Raw genomic sequence first — 24,507 nt, 5'->3', positions numbered from 1 at the left:
GATACCCTATGTGACTCATTTTTCTGTGAACCAAAGAAATAGGAGAAGTGGTTGAAAGTAATAGCCAAATTTTAGCTGAACATAAGGAAGGATTTCTAACAGTTATATAGGTCCAAAAATGCCATTCACTTCCTTAGGAAGTAGTGTGGTTTCTGCCTTTGGCAATGTTCAGTTCCAGGTTGAGCAGCCCCTCAACAAGCATATAGGAGCAATCAGGCATTGGATGGATGTTTGGACTATATACATTACAAAGTAATTCTACTCTTGAAGTCTTATGGTTTAAATTCTGTGTGCATATGTGTACCTGTGTTTAAATTCATCAAAATGGATCTAAGGTCAATCTATTTCATGACCAATATCTCTGAGCAGTATCATGATAAGTACTCTGTCAAGGTGCCAACATGAGAAGCTATTCTTAACTTTATGTATATTAACTTAAATGCAACCTTACAAAATCCTGCAATGACTTTTACTTTAATAGCAAAATTTTTTTTTAAAGGGAAGACTCCAAAGTGGAAAACTTCCAGAAATATGAATACTATTATCAGTATTTACTGGCTAAAGTAATTAAGCAAATTCAGAGAAAATGGCCTTCCCCTTAAGTTATAAGCTTGAGGGTTTCAGGAAATCTAGCTACAGTATTTATTCAGTATTTATTCAGTTTAATGAAGCTCAATTCCTTGTAGCTGTAACTACATTTATGTCCTATATTAACTTTACTTACTTAATGATGCCTATTCATCTTCCTAAAATGTGTTTTGTTGTGTTTTTATAGGCTGTGCTTTTGAAATTCTCATGTTTTTAAAAAGCAAGATTAAGTTTAAAAGAAGACAATGAAATATACGAGACAGGAGAGGGCTGGGTAGCAAGCAGGAGTGCATAGGGAACCCCAAAATTCTCAAACAAAGAAATATATGATAAAGAGCAGCTCTCTGAACGCTTAAGTGGTGCACCTCCTCTACTACAGGGACTGGATAGTCCTAAACAACTTGGAGAATCTGATGTTGGATTTGGGGCCCAGCCTGCCAAACTGGATGACATTTGTCTTACTCTAGGCATATACATAATCTATATGTATAATTTATATGCATATATAAAGCTATATATAATCATTATCATGTTACTGTAGGGCACAGGGCAAAACAGAATTTGTCTGAAGAAGAAATTGGGTTGAAAAGAGGGTTATTTGGAAAAGGATTTGTCTTAAAACTTCAAATACATGGCAAGAGCTTTGGTTTTGCTTTTTGGGGGCAGGGAGAGAGAATGAGTGTAGGAGGGGTTGGCTTGGATGGGTGAGTGGTGATAGATATTTGGGAGAGGATAAGTATCCCCCGCCTCAAGCCACACACTGTTGCTTCCACTAATTGGGTACAAAGAAATTTACCTTTTAAGTTTTTTTTTTAACCTGGGAAAAATATGGTCAGAGTCACTGATATCTTCCCTGCCAACCCCTGACTTGTTCCGATGATCAAACAAGATGTGTGTATGAAAATATGCTTTGCAAACTTGAAAGTGTTACAAATATTCAAACATCTTGCCACTCCAGAGCCTGAATCGTATACAATGGGGAGGCTGCCTAGTCTGGCACAAATGGTGTGAGCCTTGGACAAAACTCAGGACAACTGACCTCTTCCCTTTATTGTGTTAATGCAAGTGTATTAATGCCTTTGAATGTAGTTTTCCCAATGGTAAAATGGGAATATTATTACCAATTCCTGAGTTTTGTTGACTTTATAACATAAAGGTTTTTAAAAATTGTTAAAGTATGTAAAAGCTTTTAATACATTTCTTAGTACAATTTAGGTCCTAAAAAAATAGGAATTTCATTAACATTGTTACTATTTTAGAAGTAGTAATATTGATATTACTATAATGCTTTAGATATAGAAGGATCTCCAAAGATTGCACTTTACCTATATGTAACTGTAAATCTTCAACTTTATAGAGGAAGCGTCACTGGGGAACCGTGGCCTTAATAGGCAAAAAAGCCTTCAGAATCCTTATGTTCTGGTGGTAAAGGTCATTATTATAATTCATCTCCTGTGCCACCTCTACAGCCCATGAGAATTATTGGGTTCCCCTCAAACACATTTCCTAAGTACTTGGAACTGAGTGAAAATTAAAATCCGAGGAGCAGCTCTCTTCTCCTCCCATTCAATAGACAGCCACATCTTCTCGTGCAACCCCAGCCACATCCCTGAGACACCATGGTGAAGGTGAAGGCCGGAGTAAATGAATTTGGCTGTATTGGGCACCTGGTCACTAGTGCTGCTTTTAAATCTAGCAAAGTGGATATTGCTGCCATCAACAACCCCCCTCACTGTCCTCAACTGCATGGCCTACATGTTTCAGTATGATTCCACCCATGGCAAGTTCCACAGTACCATCAAGGCTGAGAACGGGAAGCTTGTCATCAGTGGAAATCCCATAACCATCTTCCAGGAGTGAGATCCTACCCCAGTCAAATGGGGCGATGCTGGCACTGATTATGTTGTGGAGTTCACCAGTGTATTAACTACCATGGAGAAGGCTGAGGCTCACTTAGATAAGGAAGCCAAAGAGTCATCATCTCTGCCCCCTCCTCTGATGCCCCCATGTTCATGATGGATGTAAATCATGAGAAGTGCAAAAACAACTTCACAGTCATCAGCAAAGCTTCCTGTGTCACCAACTGCTTAGCCTCCCAGCCAAGGCCATCCATGACAACTTTAGCATTATAGAAGGACTCATGGCCACATCCATGCCATCAATGCCACCTAGAAGACCATGGGTGGCCGCTCCGGGAGACCATGGTGTGATGGCTGCAGGACTCTCCAGAACATCATCCCTGCATCTCCTGGCACTGCCAAGGCATGGGCAAGGTCATCCCTGAGCTGAACCAGGAAGCTCATTGGCATATCCTTCCATGTTCCCACTGCCAACATCAGTCACAGACCTGACCTGCCATCTGGAGAGACTTGTGCCAAATATGATGACATCATGAAGGTGGCGAAGCAGGCTTTGGAGGGTCCCCTCAAGGGCATCCTGGGCATCGTGAGCACCAGGTTGTCTCCTCTGACTTTAACAGTGACACTCATTCTTCCACTTTTGATGCTGGGACTGGCATTGCTCTCAATGACCACTTTGTTAAGCTCATTTCCTGATATGACCATGAATTTGGCTACAGCAACAGGGTGGGAGGCCTTATGGTCCACATGGCCTCCTAGACCACCAGCCCCAGTGACAGCATGAGAGTAAAAGAGAGGCCCTCAGCTGCTGTGCAGTCCCTGCCCCACTTAGTACCCCCCAACCACACTGAGAATCTCCCCTTCTAGACACAGTTTCCATGCCACACCCTCTGAAGAATGGGAGGGGCCTAGAAAGCCCCACTTTGTCCTGCACCATCAATAGAGTCCCCGTACTCAGCCCAAAATATTAATTAAATTAAATCGTAGGAGCAAAAGTTTATCATTTCAATAGCATTTATTGTAATGCTTATTTGCAAATTCCCCAATGCAGGAATAAAAATTATTCACCTATATGCCAGCTTTGTTCAAAATAGCTATGGATATACTTAATAGTATATAAAAATGAAATCTGAGATATTCTGTGTAGAAAGCTCCCAGTTAGGAATAAAGACAAATTTTACAAGTAAAATGAAAATATAAGCCAAGATTAATTCTGAGATAAAATTCTAAAGAAAATAACCATTTCATTTAATTTTCATTGCAGTTTTGAGATTATTTAACATCTCGGTTTCAACGAATTTCAGTGCCTTTCATAGACAAGTAGATGAAAGTCAGCAGGTTGTGTCGAGCCTCATAAAAGCTGTGTCGAGCCTCATAAAAGCTATGTTGAGGAATTCATGTGAATTTAATTAGTATTAGCCAGGTATATTGAACGGCTGTAATATTTCCCTATGAACCATAATAATATGGTAAAATTACATTTTTTTGTGTGGATAGAAGAAAAAGGTCAATCAGAATTAGTGATAAACATATTTTATAAAATAGATATGACTTTTTTTTTACTTTCTAGTAAATACAGTAACTCAATAAAAAGCATAGTATCCAATAAGTCTTCAGAGAACATGGTTTGCTAACTAGATTAAGTCACTTAATTAACATATGAATGGTTACCATGAGCGTTCAGAGTTTTTAAACACAGATTGTCCTCTTACGCAGTTTAAATACTTCCCCAGTCTTGTTTGCACTATTAACTTGCTTCCCCCCTGCCCCTTGAACAAAAGCCCTGCTAAGCAAAGATTACTTTTAACTTGGGTCCTCTCCAAATGCTCACAAACTGTGAAGTAATGGAAACAAAATAAATGTTTACTGTACCGGATAAATAAAAAGTTGAGTCAAGTTATTTTTTACTGACCCTGAGTGGGGAGGAAGTAGATTTGAAGTTATTTATATTGAACACTGAATTGACTAGTTTGAAATGTGTTGTTATTGTGATTATTATTATTGGCTTTGGGGTGGAAGATTTTTTTCATTTTTTAAAATTTTATCCAAAATTGACCAATAAGTTTATTCCCTCAGTGATTGCGTACTCCTTCGGGCCAGACTCAGGCAATGAAGTCCTAACGGTCAAATTGGTTCTGTCAGCTGGCCTTGCTGTATAGATTCTCCCTTTGAAACATGCCTTCAGGAGATTTTGGCATATGAAACAAAATTGAATTTGCCCACAGATTCTCATTAAATGCCCCAAGAAGGAAATTATTATGAAGACTGTTCATTCAAAGAAATGTTGTTACGTGATATAAATAGACAAAAGGAGTGCTAATCAGTACTGTTGCATTGCTGTGAAAGAAGCCTTTTTTAAAATGCCAACAACCATCTACAATTGAAAATAAGTGATTCTATCATATTGTCAAAGGTTTTTAAAAACTGATAAAAACTACTTTGGCAAGAATATGGGGAAAAGGGCACCCTCTGCACCATTTGTAGAGATGCAAATTGCTTCATTCTTTCTGAAGGGCAGATTTTTACTATGCTTAAAAAGAAAACGTATCCCCTTCGTGAGAGGACAACTCATGTCAGGAATTTTATCTAAGAAATTTTATATAACTTTCACTCTATGGGCATCTGCATAATTAAAATTATCCTCATTATAATTAAAATTATGCAAATGTCCATAAAGTGAGTGAAAGTTACATGGATATGTACATGTTAATACTCAGCTAGATTTATCCTTTATTTCTTTAATTGTTTATTATTTAACAATAGATCTTAGATATCTTTTTATACTAGTTCATATAGAACTCCCTAAAATATAGGCTGTTACATGAATGTATTATACTATAATTTATTTAACTATTTCTTATATTATGGATATTTGTTTCCAGGTTTTTACTAATACAAACAATTCTTATAAAATTTCCCGATTGAAAAATTATGTACAAAATTACTGATGACTTATTGAATAATTCATAAGTAGGTTTTGTTTTCTCCTTTAAATTGATTATTTTTCTGTAATTTGAGTATAAGGAGTGAGCTAGAATCCATCTTTGGTTTCTGGTTATTTTTACCCCAAGTAGTCAACTTTCACTGTAAATCTTTCCAAACAATCTATCTTTTTTCCCAAATATTATAAAACTCTTATTTTGTTCTAAATTGTATACATTTTTATTGTGGTACAATAAAATGCAAATTTTATTGCATTTATGATATTTTATAAATACCATAAAATTGTGGTATTTATGGTATTTTATAAATTTATGATATTTATGGTATCTTATATATACTATAACATTATAAATACCATAAAATAAAATACTATAAAATTGTTGGGAGGTAGGAGGTACTGACAAAAATTGGTTTTCACCTGGAAAAATATACATACAAGAAGAGCTAGCTAGGAAAGACTGCAGACGTCAGGACAGCTCTCTTTGAGAAAGCAACTAGAAAAGCTGTGTCATACACAGAAAAGCAGGTGTCTGACATGAGCAGCCATGACATCCAGGACCTGAAGGATCAAGATACTAAATAAAAACAGGTTAAACTAAGCTATGTTGAAGGCAGGAAATAATAAAGAGAGAAATTAATAAAATGGGAAGGGAGGGTGCCATACAGAAAAATCGACAAGCCAAAGTTGCTTCTTGAAAACACTCATAAAGTTAATAACTTACCTTACAAGATTCATCAAGAATAAGAAAAGTAACACAATTTCCTAATAACATGGGGAAAGATATAAATACAGACACAAATATTGAGGATATTAAGAACAACTGTATGCCAAAAAATACAAAAATGTAGGTGGAATGACAAATTCTTTGAAAAACATAACTTTCTAAAACTGATCCAAAAGTAAATAGAATATTTGACTAAGCCCATATTTATTAAATATTTGTATCTGTAATTAAAAATCTTCCTACAAAAAAAAAATCCAAGCCTAGAATTTTCCTAAGCATTTAAGGAAGAGAACAGGAATCTGTTTTGTGATACCTGAGTAACTTTAACAATACAACCTGGTAAAACTGTATAAAATATATGGACACAAAAATCCTAAACACAATCTTAGCAAATTAAATCCAGTGGTATATAAAAAAGGTTAATATATAATGACCAAGTAAGGTTTATTGCAGGAATGCAAGACTGTTTTAGCATTCGAAAATCAATTAATGTAATTAACAACATTTTAAAAGTGAAAAAACAAATACCATATGATCATCTTAATAGGTAAAGGAAAAACATTTTATAAAAACCAACACTTAAGGACAAAAGGGAACTTCTTTAATCTGTTCAGAATTTCTATAAATTTGATAGAGAAATAGTGAAAAATGTTCATTTTGAGATTGGGAAAAAAACAAAGATGCCCATATCTCACTTGTATTTTGCACTGTGCTGGAGGTCCTAACAAGTGTAATGAAACAAACAAAAACATGAAAAATGTATGATGACTGGAAAGGAAAAAAACCTATCCTTATTTGAAAGCAACATGACTGTGGAAATCAAAAAGAAACTACCAATAAACTGTGAGAATTATTAACTAAATTTACTAAGGCCCTGAATACTAGGTCAATTTTAAAAATCAATTGTATATGTGAATCTAGCAATGAACATTAGAAAAGGAACTTTGAAAAAGGTACTATTTACAATAATAACAAGAAACATCAAATATCTAGGAATAAATCTAAACAAAGATGTGAAAAATCTTTATATAAAAATTTAAGAAAGCCAAAATAATTATAAGGATATATGATATTCATGGATCCAAACTTGAATATTAAAAAGAAGTGCATTTTATCCGAATTTATCTATAAATTAATACTATTCCAACTAAAATGCCAATAGGTAAGTTTTGTGGAAATTGAAAAGTTGATTCCTAAGTTCAAGTGGCAATATCAAGAGGCAAAAGTGTCATTTCAGAAAACATCAGTAAAATGTGTTGGCAAGATGTAAAGCTACTAGAATTGCTGATTGGAGTGCAAATTGATACCACCGCTTTGGGAAACTGCATGGCACTATGTCCCAACAATTCTACAGAAAGGCAAACATGTATTTTTAGCAGCAAAATTTATCATAGCCCCAAACTAGAAAATACCCAAGTGTCTATTAATAGTAGTATGAATAAGTACCTTGTAATACATTAATATAATTTTTTAAATGAACTAAATACAATATGAAGAATCTCACAAACATATTGCTGAGTCAAAGATGACAAATGCGAGGGTATGTATTGTCCAATTCCATTCATATAAAACTGAAAAACAAGAAAAGCTAATTTGTGGTGGTAGAGGTGCTAATAGTAGTTAAATCATGGAAAGAGATATTGTGAGAGAGAAGAGTGATTCTGGGATGCTGTTAATTTTTTTTTTAAATCTTAAATTATAAACATATGATATATGCACTTTCCTGGGTGATTAAACTCAAGAAAAACATTTCTTTCTTTTTTTTCTTTCCTTCTCTCTTTCTTTCATTCTTTCTTATTTATTTATTTTTTTGAGACAGAGTCTCACTCTGTTGCCCAGGCTGGAGTGCAGTGGTGTGATCTCGGCTCACTGCAGCGTCCACCTCCTGGGTTCAAGTTATTCTCCTGACTCAGCCTCACAAGTAGCTGGAACCACAGGCACACACCACCATCCCTGGCTAATTTTTGTATTTTTAGTAGAGACTGGGTTTCACCATGTTGGCCAGGCTGCAACATTTCTTTAAACATGCAAAAATAACCTGGAAAATTCTGAATAATGTAGGGTGTGAGAACAGTCTAGACTATGAAATATTATAATGTATTATGGATCCACATTAATTTAAAAGAGTGTAGTATTGACAGCAGAATAGATAACAACACGAACAAAGAGCAGGTTCAAAAACGGACCTTAATGCAAAACAAAACTTTTGTACTATGTGTATGTACACAGTTACTTGTAATGCTGGGAAGTGTTAGATTTCAATAAGTTGAGTGAGTAAATCAAGTTAAAATCCTAGGTTATTCAAAGGAAGCAAATCACTAAAACAAATACTTAAAATTATGGGCCTCCATGTAAAATGTAGCGCAAAGATTCCCATCACATCTCAATAACAAATAGAAAAAATCAAAACAAAACGACTTTTCCCATATACTTCTCCTCTTTCATTAAGATGATGAATAGATTAAAATTGGATGGTGGAGGTGAGGGGGACAAAGGTAACAGACTTTCTTATTATCTGAAAAGAGACAAAAATTTGACCCCACACCCTTTTGTTTATAATCTGTTTAGAGTGAAAAAGTGTTTTGTTTTGTTCATTTAACTGAAATAGGACTGTTTTAGAGTAATGATAGAACCCTACTTCAAATCAAAAAGTGATTTCGTGATCTCTTCAATGCAAAAATCCAAGGGTAAATTTTGTTTTGGGAGAGATTGAATACAGAAGATTAAATACTGTTATCAGGAACTGGCTTCTCTTTCAGGCGGCCATTTCCTCTGTTATCCCAAAATGGCTGCCAGCAGCTTCCTGGCCAGCATCTTTCTGATTTCTCATCCTGTGAAAAGGTGGGGGCCTTTGTCTCAGCATTCCCTGCATTAAACTTGTTGAATTCAAATGGAATTTTCTTGGGCCCAAACATGTCACACTCATTTCTGAGCCAAACATGCTGCCTAAAGAAATGCACCGATTTGAGTGGTTTAGTCCTAAATTATATGCTCCATATTTGAGCTAGGGAGGCATGAACACATGGGCTGAGAGTAGGGAATGAAGTGGGCCCTCAGAGGGAAATTGGAGTAAGGCCATTAAAGAGAGGCTGAATAGAGTCCAGGTGGCAAAATGTTCACTCTAGGGTAAAATACAGTTGGGATGGGGACAAAAGAAAGAGAGGCACTACAAATTTAACCTTGACATTTGTTTATTGATGTTAAAAAACTAAATAGCTACTAAGGACAGAATGTTTTTGCTCTCTAAAAATTCATATGTTGAAGCTCTAATCCCCATTGTGATGATATTTGGAGGTGAGGCCCTTGTGAGGGAGTTAGATCATGATAATAGAACCCTTAGAAATTGGATTAGTGCCCTTATAAGAAGAAACACAAAAGTGATGATCTCTCTCTCCTCGGTGTGAGGACATAGCGAGTAGATGGCCTTTGGCAAACCAGGAAGAGGACTCTCATCAGCACCAAATCAGCTGGCACCTTGATTTTGGATTTCCCAGCCTCCAGAACTATGAGAAATAAATTTCTGTTGTTTAAGCCATTCAGTATATGGTATTTCATTTCACCAGCCTGAGGAGATTAAGACAACAGCCAAATCTCACTTTTTGAAAAAGTAAAGATATAATGAGGCAGAAAAATATTCCCTGTCCCCTACATTTTTCCTGTTGTTTTCAAATTTTCTCTGGTTATTTTGGTGACAGTGTTTGTTTCCATGAGCCAGCCTGGGATGTAAAGCAAGCATTCAGGATAATTGATGATGGCTGCCCCTGCAGAGAAAACTATCTTGTACCAAAGGGCTGTTTCTTTTTTAATCCTTTCTTTCTATTACTGGTTTTAAATAATGTTTCTGACAAGATTCTACTTTTCTTTCTGTCAACTGTCAGTGAACAGTATTGGGCATTATTTGTGGGGCTGTAAATACATTACATGAAAAAATAATGAGTCCTTAAAAAGTCAAGAGAAATGCCTCCAGAGATATTTACCTAACATGGTGATTTATGTAGGTCCAGGAATGGAGTCTCAGAAACTTCCAAATGAGAAGTCTGGAACATAAAATAAAGTCTTCCAAATCTGCCTTTGTTGTAGCCCCTGGAACATTTCCCTTTTACTTTTAATCTGAAAGTTGGAGAACGTTTTTCATGTTCAACTTAAATTGTTTAGTTAATGGTCTAAGAATAACTCTTGGGAACATCCCTCATCATAGCATGTTATTACTCTATTCTTCTGACTGAATTTGATGTATCTATTGTGTTCTTGCTGCATAAACCGATCCCTGGGATTAATCATTTTCTTTTTAGCAGCTAGAAATTGTAGACATTTAATGGATATACCTACATCAGTCAATTTAATGAGTCTCATCGTCTGGGATTTGAAATATACCGATCACTCTAATGTTAAAATGTAATTGACATTCATCCTTATTTCAGGTTTCCAAGTTTTCCAACTTTGTCCCTCCTGCCTGCCTGAGAAGGGTAATTTAGTTTAAGCTTAAAAAAAACAGTTGTTCAGTACCTGGGAAGTCAAGTGGATCTACTGGGTAATGTGCACAGAGGTTAAACAATCTTTGTGTCATTTACTACAGTACACCTTCAGCAAATCACTTAGCTTCAGTTTCTTTTACAGGGACTATTTTGTCATCTTAGTAGGAATTGTTCCATGGAAGGATCATGCTGGTTAATATTACCCAGGCGTGTCTCTGGCAGCCTTACAGTTGGAAAGAATGGGATGCTGATGTGGCTGTGGCATCTGTCCCTGGGTCAAGAGCCAGGGCCTCCATCCTCCTTCAGAGGCTAAGCACACGGCCAAAGGGGTGGCCTTCCAGATAAAGGAGACCCAGTCAGTTGTCAAATACAGTTACCAGAAAGTAAGTGCACTCAAACCTGAGTTATAATTAATGGTTTTTTGTTTTATGTTTTGTTTCAGTTGTTTGAATTTATGAACTTTTTGGCGGAGAACGTCATCTTCTGTTACATGGGCCTGGCACTGTTCACGTTCCAGAATCATATCTTTAATGCTCTTTTTATACTTGGAGCCTTTGTATCCTTTGAAATACAGAACATGGGGTGATTAGAGAAGATAACGAATGACTTACTTTTACGAATTATTCTGTTAAATCATTAAAGCACTTTCCTAAAGTCCACTGCAAGGCTCAGACACAAGGCAGATACGTGATTTCTAGTTAGGGGAGGAAAACATCCTAAGAAATTAGGACCTCCATTAAATAATTATGGTTCAAGATAAGAACTTTGGAAAGAACTGTGGAAATAAAGAGGGAAATTAAAGGAAAATCTATTTTTCAAGCATTCAAAATATGTTTAACTATAATTATGAATCATTTACATAAAAATTATGTCTGTGTATTCTTTATAGAGAAACAGACTTAATCTGCATTAGAGTATATCAGGAAGCATCCAGGATTATTCAGCTTTGGAAATGTTTTCATTGCAAGATGATAAAATCTCTTTTCCAATACGGACTTCAAAAATAGGATAGATGATCAAATGAAATTAGCATGATGCATGTGCTTTCAACATCATAAGCATTGTTCAAATACAGGTTCATCTGAATAAGATAGCACCCTTCCTTTCCTATGAAGACAGATGAAATCTAGACCCCACTTTTAATGCAGGGGGTTTTCCTAGCTCTAGGCCTGGGACAGGAGGTGTTTCCAGTGGGAATGGATATCTATCTGAAAGGATGTTGAGCCATTAGGAATGTCCCCAAAGGCAGTCAGCAACTGTTGTCCTTCTTCCCACTTGGAAGATGGGCAGATGCCACCTTGGATCACAGATAATCCGAACAGCCAGCAGAGGCAATCCCTCTCTATAAACTGTGTTCCAATTAAACATCTGCATTTGCTTCTTAGTCTCTTTTCATTGAGCATTCAGCTGAACCCTAAAATTTCATCCAAAACCTGGATTTTAAAAGGAAGTTAACTCTTGCCAAATAACTCCGTCCCATTGAGGACAAACTAGAATAGCCCATCGGGGAAGGAGTCAAAGACAACAAAAAGGGAAAGATGAAGAGCGCCAATATTTTCAAAGACTTTTACTTATAAACTTTTATTTTAGGAAATTGCCAGATAAAGCAACAGTTGTATTATGTAATTAGACAGGTAATTCCTCTCAAAATTAATTCACCAAAGAAAAAGGTATGCAAAGCTTGCTAGATATAGGAAATATAAACTGATAAGAAGGAAGATGGTAAACATGAACAGAAGCACATTTATCCTTTCTAAAGTACCACTTGGGAAGATAATGCCACAGCATCTGAATGGTCTCTGCCTCACATTTTACAGCAGAATTGAGGATAGTCAGTCATCAGCAATATAAATGTGATTAGAAAATTTACAGTGATTGAATTGGTATTGGGCTAACAATTTTAAAGCAAGTATCAAAGAAAGGCAGAGTTCTCTATTATTTCTGGGAAGAACTTGACTTTGAAATATAAATTTTGGAAGCAAGTTGGACAAATGTGAATTGACATGTTTATTTCTGGTTTTGGGGTCATAATGAAGAGAAGCTTGAGGACATAATATTTAAGCTCAAGGATTCAAACCATCATTGCAGCAACACTTTCCTCAATGTTTCCCTGTGCTTATCTACAGCTAGCAATTTTTGTTGCCAGAGCCTGCAACATATATCCCCTCTCCTTCCTCCTGAATCTAGGCCGAAAACAGAAGATCCCCTGGAACTTTCAGCACATGATGATGTTTTCAGGTATGTGAACTATGTTATATGTTAGTGCTGCTGGTTTTCTCACAATTTTACAGAACATGAAAAACCATGAGAAAATTTAGAACCCTTTTGGGGAAACAACTTCTCTTTATCCCATTGTACCTAACACTATGCTGATTCTCCGTAAGTGCTGAGCAACAGCAGGATTTCTCTTTCCAAGTGGGAAATGAAGTTAGAGGGAATCTTATTGGTATGGCTTCAAGGTATCATATCTGGTCAGAAACTGGCCTAGAGTGGACATTGGACTTTCCTCTGACCCATTTCAGATCAATTTTTCATACTGGGGAATTTGAATTATAATTTCATAAATTGCATGCTCAGGGTAAATAGTGTGTAAATGGTGCCACTCTTATCCAATGCCCCTTATCCAGTGTTCCTTCTCCATAAAATCCCTGCTCCTTCCTTATGCAAAGCTCCAGAAACTCCTCACAGTTAATACAAAAGCAAATCAGACCTAAGTATGCTCAGTTGTTAGTTGAGAAAACGAATATTAATTGAGCACTCACCAGGTGCCTGAGATGAGTTCTGGGCACTGATTGATGAAACTGACAAGGTCTCTGTTCTCAAGACATTTGTGTTCTAATTGCTTAAACCATACCTCAAGGCTCCTTTCCAAAAGAAAATAAACCAAATGAATTTTCTGACCTTGAAAGCTCTGGAGATTATGGTTTATCTTTAGTCAATTAATTTTCCTACCTTCAGTCTTTCCCTGTTCAAAGACCTTTTGCAGAGATCCTTACGTGATTCCTATGTAGCTGTACACTTACAATGTACTCAGAGGCAGTTATTGGGGGATACATGAGAGTTTACAATAAAACCTGCTATCAGCATGAACAAATACAATTTAGGGTACATAGGGGCATATAGAAAAAGTGAGAGAAATGAACATTTATTAGCACTTGCTATTTGCCACTCACTATTTTTTAATTAATCCTGTGAAGCAAGTATTAACACATTTTGTAGATGAAGAAACTGAGGTTCAGGATCTCAAAAAGGTTATGAAACTTGGTCAAGAACAAATGTATTCTTGAACCCAGGTCTGTGAGATTCCACCTAAACCCAACCAAGTGTCTCAAAATCCACATTTCTGAAAGCAGTAAAAGGCTTGTTTTGCCTTCAGTGCCATCCTAGCCTGGTCCATACGGTAAAAGGGGCAGCTCCCAAGCTGAGAGTGAGTCATTGATTCAAATACAGACAAATGGAGATACAAAATTAAATTTGCCCTACTGAAGGCCTCTGACAGTACTTCCTTACATTTCCAGACATGTTAGGGTAAGAGAGAGAGAGTCATAAGGAAGGTGAGAAGTTGGAGTGGTAGGTGATTTTTTTTTTTTTTTTTTTTTGAGACGGAGTCTCGCTCTGTCGCCCAGGCTGGAGTGCAGTGGTGTGATCTCGGCTCACTGCAAGCTCTGCCCCCCAGGTTCATGTCATTCTTCTGCCTCAGCCTCCTGAGTAGCTGGGACTACAGGCGCCTGCCACCACGCCCGGCTAATTTTTTGTATTTTTAGTAGAGACGGGGTTTCACCGTGTTAGCCAGGATGGTCTCGATCTCCTGACCTTGTGATCCACCCGCCCCGGCCTCCCAAAGTGCTGGGATTACAGGCTTGAGCCACCACACCCGGCCAAGTGGTAGGTGATTTTTGACTTAGAACAGTAATAAACTTTGGCAATGAGTTGACTTTTATTATGAGAAAGCAAAAGGTAAACTTGAGCACTCATAAATGGGAAGCCAGCATTGGGTTGCATTTTTTCAAAACGTTTCTGGGAATTGGAAAGCACTTTTCCTTCTTTCCCATCAAAACATCAGTAACTTTACTCTGGAGAATAGCAGCTTATTTTCAAAGCTTCAATATTACATTTTAAACATTGCTTTATTTGACAAACAATGCTTTGAGAAAAATATAAGGCCTTAGATAATCATGTTAGGTTGTGAAGTGTCTGCCCAAATGGCCACCTGTCTTGATGGTTTCTCCAGGCTTTCGCACCTTCTAAGTTTGTTTAACGGTAGTATTGGAGCTGCGTTAAAACCTGGTAGAGGCCAATAATATGATGTGTACAGCCAGGGGATGTGAGGAGGTCCAGAATTTATTTCTATGATATTCTAAAGCCAGGAGTCAGCAAACTATGGCTCTTGAATCAAAACTGATCCATGGCTATTTTATTAATATTATTAAGTTGGAACTCATCCCAACCCATTTGTTTACTTACTGTCTACGGCTGTTTTTGCACTACAGTGGCAGAGTTGTGAACTATATATAATCATATAGTTCATAAAAAATAAAATATTACTATCTGGCCCTATTCTAAAGCATCCTTACCCTCTGGAAGAAAAACAATAACCCTATCATATTAATGGGGTTGAAATTATTAGTTTAATTCATGAGAATGCCAATCAGCCAGTTCCTATCATTAAAAAGACAGCATACCAAATTTTCAGGACACCTACCTACATATGACTCTGATGTCCAGAGAATGCGACCCAGTGTTTTCCATACTGAGCATCCATATCATCTGCTGGCATTGGCACCGTTAGTTACAGCTTATCAGCTTGAACTCAAGGGCACAATCATCTTGGGCCGAGGTGCACTTATTTTATGTATTTGACTGGATTTTTGTTTCGTACACTTTTCACATTGAAATGAATCTGAACATCAAAGAGATTGAGTTTCTTCTTTATATTTCTAACGTCATTTTTAATAAAAGTTAATATTGATAGTACTCTTTTACATGGTGGAAAGAACATTGGATTTTTCACTAAAAAGCTGTCTTCTTAGCTTTCAAATGAAGAGATGGTAATGTTACATATTTATGTAAAGGAATCATTGATACCACGCTCAAAAGTCACTTTACACCTTCCTGAGCCCTTTCATTGGCACTGTTTTGAGACTCATAGCCACAGCAAGATGGGATAGCCATTATTGTTCTCTCTTTTTTTTCATTTTTTTATTGTTGTAAAATACAATAACATAAAATTTCCCATCATAACCATTTTAAGAATACAGTTCAGTGTTATTAAATACATTCGAAATGTGCAACCATCACCACTGTCCACTTCCATAATTCTTTTCGTCTTGTAAAACTGAAACTCTATACCCATTGAACAGTTCATTCCCCCTCCTCCCAATTCCTGGCAGCCACCATTCTTTCTGTCTCTTTGATTTTGACCACTTTAGGAGCCTCATATAAGTGGAATCATATAGTATTTGTCTTTTTGTGATTGGTTTATTTCACTTAGCATGACATCCTCAAGGTTCATCCATGTTATAGCATATTATAAAATTTCCTTCCTGTTAAAAAGGCTGAATAATATTCATTGCATGTATAGATCACATTTTACTTATCTATTCATCTATCAGTGGACACTTGGGTTCCTTTCACATGTTAGCTATTGTGAACAATGCTGCTGTAAACATGGGTACACAGACACCTCTTCAAAACCTGTCTGTGAATTCCTTTCAATATATACCCAGAAGTAGAATTGCTGGGTCATATAGTAATTCTATTTTGAATGTTTTGAGAAGCTGCCATACTGTGTTTTAATGTAACTTTACCATTTTATATTTCTACCAACAGTGCCCAAATGTTCTTATTTCTCCACATTCTGGCCAAAAATTATTTTCTGTTTCTTTTTCTTATGGTAGTCATCCCAATGGGTATGAAGTAATAGCTCATTGCCCTTTTGATTTGCATTTCCTTCATTAATAGTGATGCTAAGCATTTTTTCATGAGCTTACTAGCCATTTGTGTATTTTCTTTGGAGAAACTTCTATTCAAGTCTTAAGCCATTTTTTAAATGGGATCTTTTGTCATAGAGTTATAGGAGTTTTCTATTTCCTGAATACTGATCCTTTATCAGACATATCATTTGCAAATATCTTCTTCCATTCCATGAGCTGCCTTTTTTACTCTGTTTACACTGTATTTTGATGCACAATATTTTTTAAATTTTTCAAGAAATTTAATTTGTCTATTTTTTCTTTTGTTGCCTGTGCTTTTAGAGTCCTAGCTAAGAAATTATTGCCAAATCCAATGTTGTGACATTTTTGTCCTATTCTTTTTCTAAGAGTTTTATAGTTTTAGGCCTTACATTTTTTTATCCATTTGAGTTAATTTTTATATATGACATTGCTTTGATTACTGTAGCTTTATTGTAAGTTTTGAAATTTGGAAATATGGGTCTTTCTGCTTTGTACTTTTTCAAGATTGTTTTGGTTATTTGGGGCCTCTTAAATATCTGTATTAATTTGAGGATAGGTTTTACTATTTCTTTTAAAATGTCATTGGGATTTTGATAGGGACTGCATTGAATTTGCAGATTACTTTGGGTTGTATTAACATCTTAACAATATTAAGTCTCCTAATCCATAAGCATAGGATGTTTCCCTTTATTTATTTCTTCTTTAATTTATTTCAGTAATGTTTTGTAGTTTTCACTGTATAAGTCTTTCACCTCCTTGGTTAAGTTAATTCCTAAGTATTTTAATATTTTTGATGCTATTGTGAATGGAATTATTTTCATAATTTTAATTTTAGATTGTTCACTGTGAGTGTATAAAAATGCAATTGATTTTTGCATGTTGACTTTATGTCTTGCTACTTTGCTTAATTCATTTATTAGGTTTAACAGGTTTTTTGTGAAATCTTTAGGAAATTCTACATATAAAATTATATTACCTGTAAACAGAGATAATTTTACTTCTTTTTCAGTTTGAATACCTTTATTTCTTTCTCATGATTAATTGCTCTGGCTAGAATTTCTAGTATAATGTTAAATAGAAGTGGTCAAAGTGGGCATTTTTGTCTTATTCCTGACCTTAGAATAAAAGACTTTAGTCTTTCACCATTGAGTATGATATTTGCTTTTATTTTATATACAGCTTTTATTATGTTAAGATAGTTTCCTTCTATTCCTAGTTGGTTGTTTTTTTTATCATGAAATGTTAAATTTTATCAAATGATGTTTCTGCATCAATTGAGGTGATCATGTACTTTTCTCCTTCATGCTGTTAATGTCGTGTATTACACTCATTGATTTTTGCGTGTTGTACACAACATTGCATTCCGGGAACAAATCTCACTTGGTCATGGTGTATAGTTCTTTTAATATGCTACTGAATTCAATTTGCTAGTTTTTTGTTGAGAATTTTGCATTTATGTTCATAAGGAATAGCAGTCTGTGGTTTTCTTATTGTGTCTTGCTCTGACTTTGATATCAGAGTAATGCTGGCTTTATGGAATGAGATAAGAATTGCTTCCTCCTCTTCAGGTTTTTGGAAAAGTTTGTGAAGGGTTGGTATTAGTTTCTCTTTAAATGTTTGGCAGAAATCACCTGTGAAACCATGAAGTCCGGAGCTTTTCTTTGTGAGGAGATTTTTGATTACTGATTGAATCTTCTTATTAGTTGTAGGTCTAATTCAGATTTTTCATTTCTTCATGCTTTAATCTTGGTAAGCTTTGTATTTCTAGGAAGGTATCCATTTCATATAGATTATTCAATTTGTTAGCATAAAATTGTTCATAGTGCTCTCTTATTCTTGTTATTCTCTAATTCTTGTTATTTCTCTAGAATTGGTAGTAAAGTCACCACTATTATTTCTAATTTTAGTAACTTGAATCTTCTCTCTTTTTTCTTAGTCCATCTAGTTAAAGGTTTGTCAATTTTATTGCTCTTTCCAAAGAAACATTTTTTGTTTCATTTATTTTTTCTATTATTTTTCTATTCTCTATTCTATTTATCTCTAATCTTTATTCTTTCCTTTCTTCTAGCTCTGGGTTTAATTTGTTTTTCTTTTTCTTGTTTATTTAAGTTGTGAAGTTAGGTTGTTGGGTTCTTGATTTGAGATTGTTCTTGTTTTTTAATGTAAGTGTTTAAAGTAAGTCTTAGCACTGTTTTCACTATGTCTTATAAGTTTGGGTATGTTGTGTTTTCTTATCATTCACCTCTTAGTATTTTCTAATTTTTCTTCTGATTTTATTCTTGATCCATTGATTATTTAAAAGTATGTTATTTAATTTCCATATATGCATGAATTTTCCAGTTTTACATCTGTTATTGATTTCTAACTTCCACTGTTGTCCTATCTTTTTAAATCTTTTAGGAAGTCTTAATGTGTTCCCTAATGTATGATCTATCCTGGAAAATGTCTCATGTGCACTTGAGAAGACTGTGTATGTTGTTGTCGTTGGGTAGATTGTTCTGTATATGTCTGTTAGATCTAGTTGGATTATCATACTGTTTTCTATTCCCTTACTTACATTCTATCTGGCTATTATGTTCATTATTGAGAGTGGTATATTTAAGTCTCCAACTATTATTGTAGAATTGTCTATTTCTCCATTAAATTTTGTCAGTTTTTCCTTCATATGTTATGGTGGTCTGTCATTAGGTATGTAAATGTTTATAATTGTTTATAATTGTTATATCTTCTTGCAGTACTGGAACTTTTATTAATCTTTGTCTTCTGTAAATGTTTTTAACTTAAAATCTATTTTGTCTGATATTAGTATAGCTACTCCCTTCTGTTTTTTGGTCAGTATTTTCATGGAATATCTTTTTCTAGCCTTTTACTCTCATCTGTTTGTGTCATTGGACCTAAAATCAGTCTCCTTAGACAGCATATAGCTGGATCATATGTTTTCATCCATTCTGCCAAACTTGTCTTTTGATTAGAGTGTTTAATACATTTACATTTAAAGTAATTACTGGTAAGAAAGAGGTTCTGTCATTTTGAAATATATTTTCTATATACCTTACAGCATTCTTGTCCCTCATTTACTGCACTACTGCCTTTTGTGTTTAGTTGATTCTTTGCAGTGAAATGTTTAAATTCCTTTATTCCTTTCTTTTGTATATATTCTATAGCTATTTTCTTTGTGGTTACCATGGAGATTACACTTAAGATCCTAAAGCTGTAACATTCTAATTTAAATTTACCCCAGCTTAACATGAAAAACATACAATAACTCTGCCTCCTTTACAACTCTGTCCCCACCCCTTTTGGCTGTTGATGTTACAGAATTATATCTTTATACATTGTGTTCCCAAAAATACAAACTAATAATTCTTTAATATGCATTAGTCTCTTAAATTATGTAGAAAATAAACTGTGGAGTTATAAACCAAAGTTATAATATTAGTGCTTATACTGATAATTTTTTTAATGTATTCATCTCTTAAATCACATAGAAAAGAAAAAGTGAAGTTACAAACCATGCAATAATACTAGCTTTTTAATTGTCCATGGATTTACCTTTACTGAGTTCTCTGTTTCTTCATATGGCTCAAGTTACTACTTAGTATTATTTCATTTCACCCTGCAGGACTCTCTTGAGGGATTTCTTAAAGGATAGGTTCAATGATAATGAAACCTCCCCAACTTTTGTTTACTTGGGAATGCCTTAATTTCTCCCTCACTTTTGAAGGACAGTTTTGCCACATATAGAAATCTTGGTTGACAAGTGGTTTTTGTTTTTGTTTTTGTTTTTTATTTTTTTCTTTTAGCGTTTTGACTATATCAGCTTACTGCCTTCTGACCTCCAAAGTTTCTGATGAGAAATCTGCTGATAATCTTGTTAAGGATCCCTTATATGTGTGAGTCCCTTCTCTCTTGGTACTTTCAACATTCTTTAAAAACTTTGAAAGTGTTTCAGTCCGCATCTCTTTGAGTTCATCTACTTGGAGTTCATGAAGCTTCTTGGGTGTTTATATTCATGTCTCTCTCTTTATTGGTATTTCCTTTTTGTTCATATATCTTTTTTTTTAACTTTCTCAACATATTCTTTTTAGTTCTTCAAGCATCTTTAAGACAGTTGTTTTGAAGTCCGCTTAAAAGTCTTTGTCTAGTATATCTGCCATCACGTCTTTTTCAGGGATAGTTTCTGTTATTTTTTTTACTTTGAATGGCCATACTATCCTGTTTCTCTGTATACCTTGTGATTTTTTGTTAAAAACTTGACATTTGAGTCTAATATTATGGTAACTCTGGAAAGCAAATTTCCCCTTTCCCAGGGTTTTCTGGATTTGGGTTTTTGTTTGTTTGTTTGTTTATTCTTGTTAATTTTGTTGTTGTAGACTGTCTCTGTTCTGGGAATCAGCCTGAGATAGAAACATAAGGTCTCCTCAGGTCTTTTCTAAGTCCATGCCTTTCCTTGGGCTTGCAAAGTCACCTCCTAATTTCTCTGTGTATGTAGTTATTTTTTAATGACCTAATATTTAATGTCAGGCCCCCAAAAGGAGAAAAAGAAAATCGAAGGTGGAGAAAAAGAAAATCGAAGGTGAAAAAAATTAAAAGGGTCCTGGCCCTTTAAATCTCCTGACAATCACTTCAGCCAAGGGGAGGAGCTTCCCAGTAAGGGGAGGTGCAACAACAATGGTGGCGATTTTGTCTGCATCTCTTTGATCAGAACCAGCATCAGTGATCAGAACACAGATTTTTGATATTTGGAGAACAGAGTCCTTTTTGCTCACCCCGGCTCCTGCAAACAGTTTGCAAGCTGCTCCAGGAACACTTGGCACAGCTGCCTGCCACAGGGCTGAAGGGTGAAGGTTGGAAGACTTGCTACTATGCTAAGAACTATAATTGACCAAAATAAACCACAATTACTTCCCAAGCCTTCTCCTAGAAGTTGCAATCCTTCAATATACTCCAGAATTCCAAAATAGTTACATCATACAAATTCTGCCAGTGTAATAGTTGTCTAGGTAGGGAAACAAATTTCTGGTACTTCCTACTCTACCATGTTCCCAGCATCCCATTATTGGTCTCTTTTTACAGATTAAAAAATAATAACAATGAGACATGGGGAGTTTGTGTATCTTGCTCACAATCTCTTAACCCTGAGTTGAACCCAGGCCTCTCGACTTTGAACTTAGAAACTTCTCATCTACATGACACAACCTCAGATTTACCTTCAAAGTCATGAGAACAAAAGTTAAATCAAAATCATGTCCTTTCTAATCCAGGCCAACCCCAGCATGTCTAACATGTCCCTCATGCAAACCTGACCCCCATCCAGTTCACAGCAAAGCCAATATGTGGACAACACCCGCTCCCAGCCCTAGGCTCAGGATCTTCTCTGCACCCATTGACCCCCATCAGGTATCAGGTGATGAATCAGGTGAGGTCATCACACGCAGGGTGGTATTTCTCTTCAAAAGAGAATGCTCCAGACTCAGCTTTGATTTTCTGCATGAATTCTGATAGCTATACATTACTTAGGTCCTAAAGTTTTAAATATATTTGCCAGAAGACAAAGCACTTGAAAGGTCAACTTAAGGTAACATAAGCCAGAGGAGAAGGTTAACAAAATAGATCAAACAACACACTGTCTGGCCTTTTCTGGGTGCGTGAGAGCAAAACCCACTCAACCCAGAAGAAAAAGCCAATCCCCTTAAAGAATATTTGATTATAAATATAGTTTAATGTTTCTTAATTATGACTAGAGTATTTTTTCATCCAATAAGAGAATGACTTTAGTAGCCCTCTGACACAATCTAGTTGGCCTGCTTCATGAATAAGTTTAGATGAAGCCTTTCTTCACATAGCTCAAAACATTTTGCAAAGAGTTCTTTGGAGAAGGTAAACAATGACACTCAGTCTAAAAAAGGAGTGTGAATTTATTTCTATATTTCCTCATTCACAGTCATCCAGATAGTCATTCATTCAGCAGACATTTATTGATGCACTTTCTTGGGTAGGTATTTGTGCGAACAAGACAAAGATGAGGGCCCTGCCCTTAAGAGAAAGCTGGGCTTGGCTCAGGTTTGATTCAGTAAGGCAGCACACCTCAGGGGTTCAAAGATCAAATAAGAACCTAAAATTTCTGTCTTGGTCAGTGACACCTACCATATGATAAATGGTTGTCCATTTTCTTTACCCTCAACTTCTTAATGCCTTTTTGGCACTGGGCAGAGAAGCTTTCCAAGCAGAAGTGGATTCTCTGTGAAGTTAATAAACTTAAGCTTTAGGATCCCTTTCACGTGGCCCTGTCCAAGATCCTGAGAGGAGCCCTACCAGTGTGTTCTGATGAGCATATAAAGTTTGCATAAGTAAGATATTTTGTATTATTTTTCTTTAAAAAGGCCTCAAAATTTATAAGCTTCAGGCCCCACAAAACCTGAGGCAGACCTGCCTCCAAATCTGGATGCACCTGGAGGTGACAGTTTAAGAAAGATTTAGCTACTTCTGACTCATCTCATGGTGGTGAGAAAGGCCTTTAGTGAGCATTGAAGCAAGAGCTTGAAGCTATGTAGATGGATCCAGTTCAGTAATGTTTTTGAGTAAAGCTCACATTGTTCATGGATGACCCTACTGCCACACTCCACCCCCACCTCCACCCATTACCTCTAAAGCCAATGAAACTGAATGAAGTGACTATCAGGGTCCACACTGAATTTCTCACCTGGCATGAATCCCACCTGATTTACTTTCTGTAGACTAATCGTCTACACACATGACGACTAGGAACATGAAAATGCCACATGGGTGTCAACGTCAGGAATCTGTCTCCTCTGTCTTGAGAAGTTTTTAATAATGCAAATTCTGATCTGGGTGTCTCCAATGCAGTTAAGAGTTGATTAGGGGAGCTTACCCTGAGACATTTTTAAGACCTTCTTTAAATTCAAGGCCAGGAGGTCATAACTGCTCTGCTATATCGTGTGACACTCAGCACAAAGGGCTTAAGAGGAATGCTAAGCGCCCCTGAAACTGTTCCTCTTGCCCTTGAGCATAGCCCTAGTTAATGCCACGAGTGAACAACCCCGCCTCAGCTCTCAGTTCCCTTGAAACCAAAAAGGCAACACTCTGTTGTTTAAATTAAAGGAGGAGATGTGCTTTGCACAAATTAGCTTTCCTGTTGATGTGGTGCATATTACAAAGATCAGTCCACTTGTTTTAACTCAAATCTATGTGCTGCAATTTTTATTTAATTTAAAACTAAATAAGAACCAGGAGTTGCTGGAAGGAGGGGAAATGCCAAGCCCAACTTAGCCCTGGCAGCCTTCCTGAAACCACTGTGACTTGGGTACTGTGAACTCCTGAGCTAAAGAGCCAGGGTGCAGAGCTGCTGAGCTTGTCTAACAAGGAGGGAGTTTAGGAAAGCACCTGGGAAGGTTGTAGGAGCCAGATGATATGTCAGCGAACACTGTTTCTCAAATTCATTGACTTCTGCTGCACTTTTGAGAAGGCATTGAAACCCCAATATGTCCTATCACAAAAACTACGAGAAGTTTTAACCGGTAAAATGTCACCACAGTACATGGATTTATACAAAACTTCATCCATGAGCTCACATAACCATGAAACAGCAGCACTAACTGTTGCCAAGCTGTGCTATTAATGTTCCTGACTCATTTTGTTGTGCACTAGCACTCGTTCACATTCAAATAGCTGCTGACACCAAAGGATTAAGAAAAAGGCATGGAAGACAAACTTTAAGAAAATTTTTTCATGAACATGTATTTTTTCCCCTCTCAGTTGTGAAAAGGCTGCCATTGCTACTCAAGTTTTGTGGAGCACTGTTCTGCAGCTCATGGAACCCCAGTGTTCTATAGAAGCACAGTTTTTAAGAGCCCCTGCCAAGGTGTAGACCACCTTTCCCAGTGTCTTTTGGGTGACCAACTGATCAAGCCATGGTGAGAATCCAATTTGACACTTTGATCCC

At 36.1% G+C, this 24,507-nt stretch overlaps 1 protein-coding gene and 1 pseudogene across 4 annotated transcripts in view; both read left to right on the top strand.

Moving 5' to 3' along the window:
• The window catches only part of SLC9A9 (solute carrier family 9 member A9), a 583,247-nt gene that overhangs the window by 341,988 nt on the left and 216,752 nt on the right, over positions 1-24,507 (top strand). For all 4 annotated transcript variants that reach the window (XM_017006203.2, NM_173653.4, XM_011512703.4 and 1 more), the window contains 2 exons: positions 11,033-11,146; positions 12,717-12,828. In XM_017006203.2, the coding sequence (XP_016861692.1) occupies positions 11,033-11,146; positions 12,717-12,828 (226 nt within the window). The remainder of the gene's footprint in view (positions 1-11,032; positions 11,147-12,716; positions 12,829-24,507) is intronic.
• GAPDHP47 (glyceraldehyde 3 phosphate dehydrogenase pseudogene 47) lies at positions 2,185-3,407 on the top strand (annotated as a pseudogene).

This window comes from Homo sapiens, chromosome 3, assembly GCF_000001405.40.
Source record: "Homo sapiens chromosome 3, GRCh38.p14 Primary Assembly".
Taxonomy (NCBI): domain Eukaryota; kingdom Metazoa; phylum Chordata; class Mammalia; order Primates; family Hominidae; genus Homo; species Homo sapiens.
The sequence above is the reverse complement of the archived record's forward strand: the minus strand, read 5'-3'. Positions and strand labels throughout refer to the sequence as shown.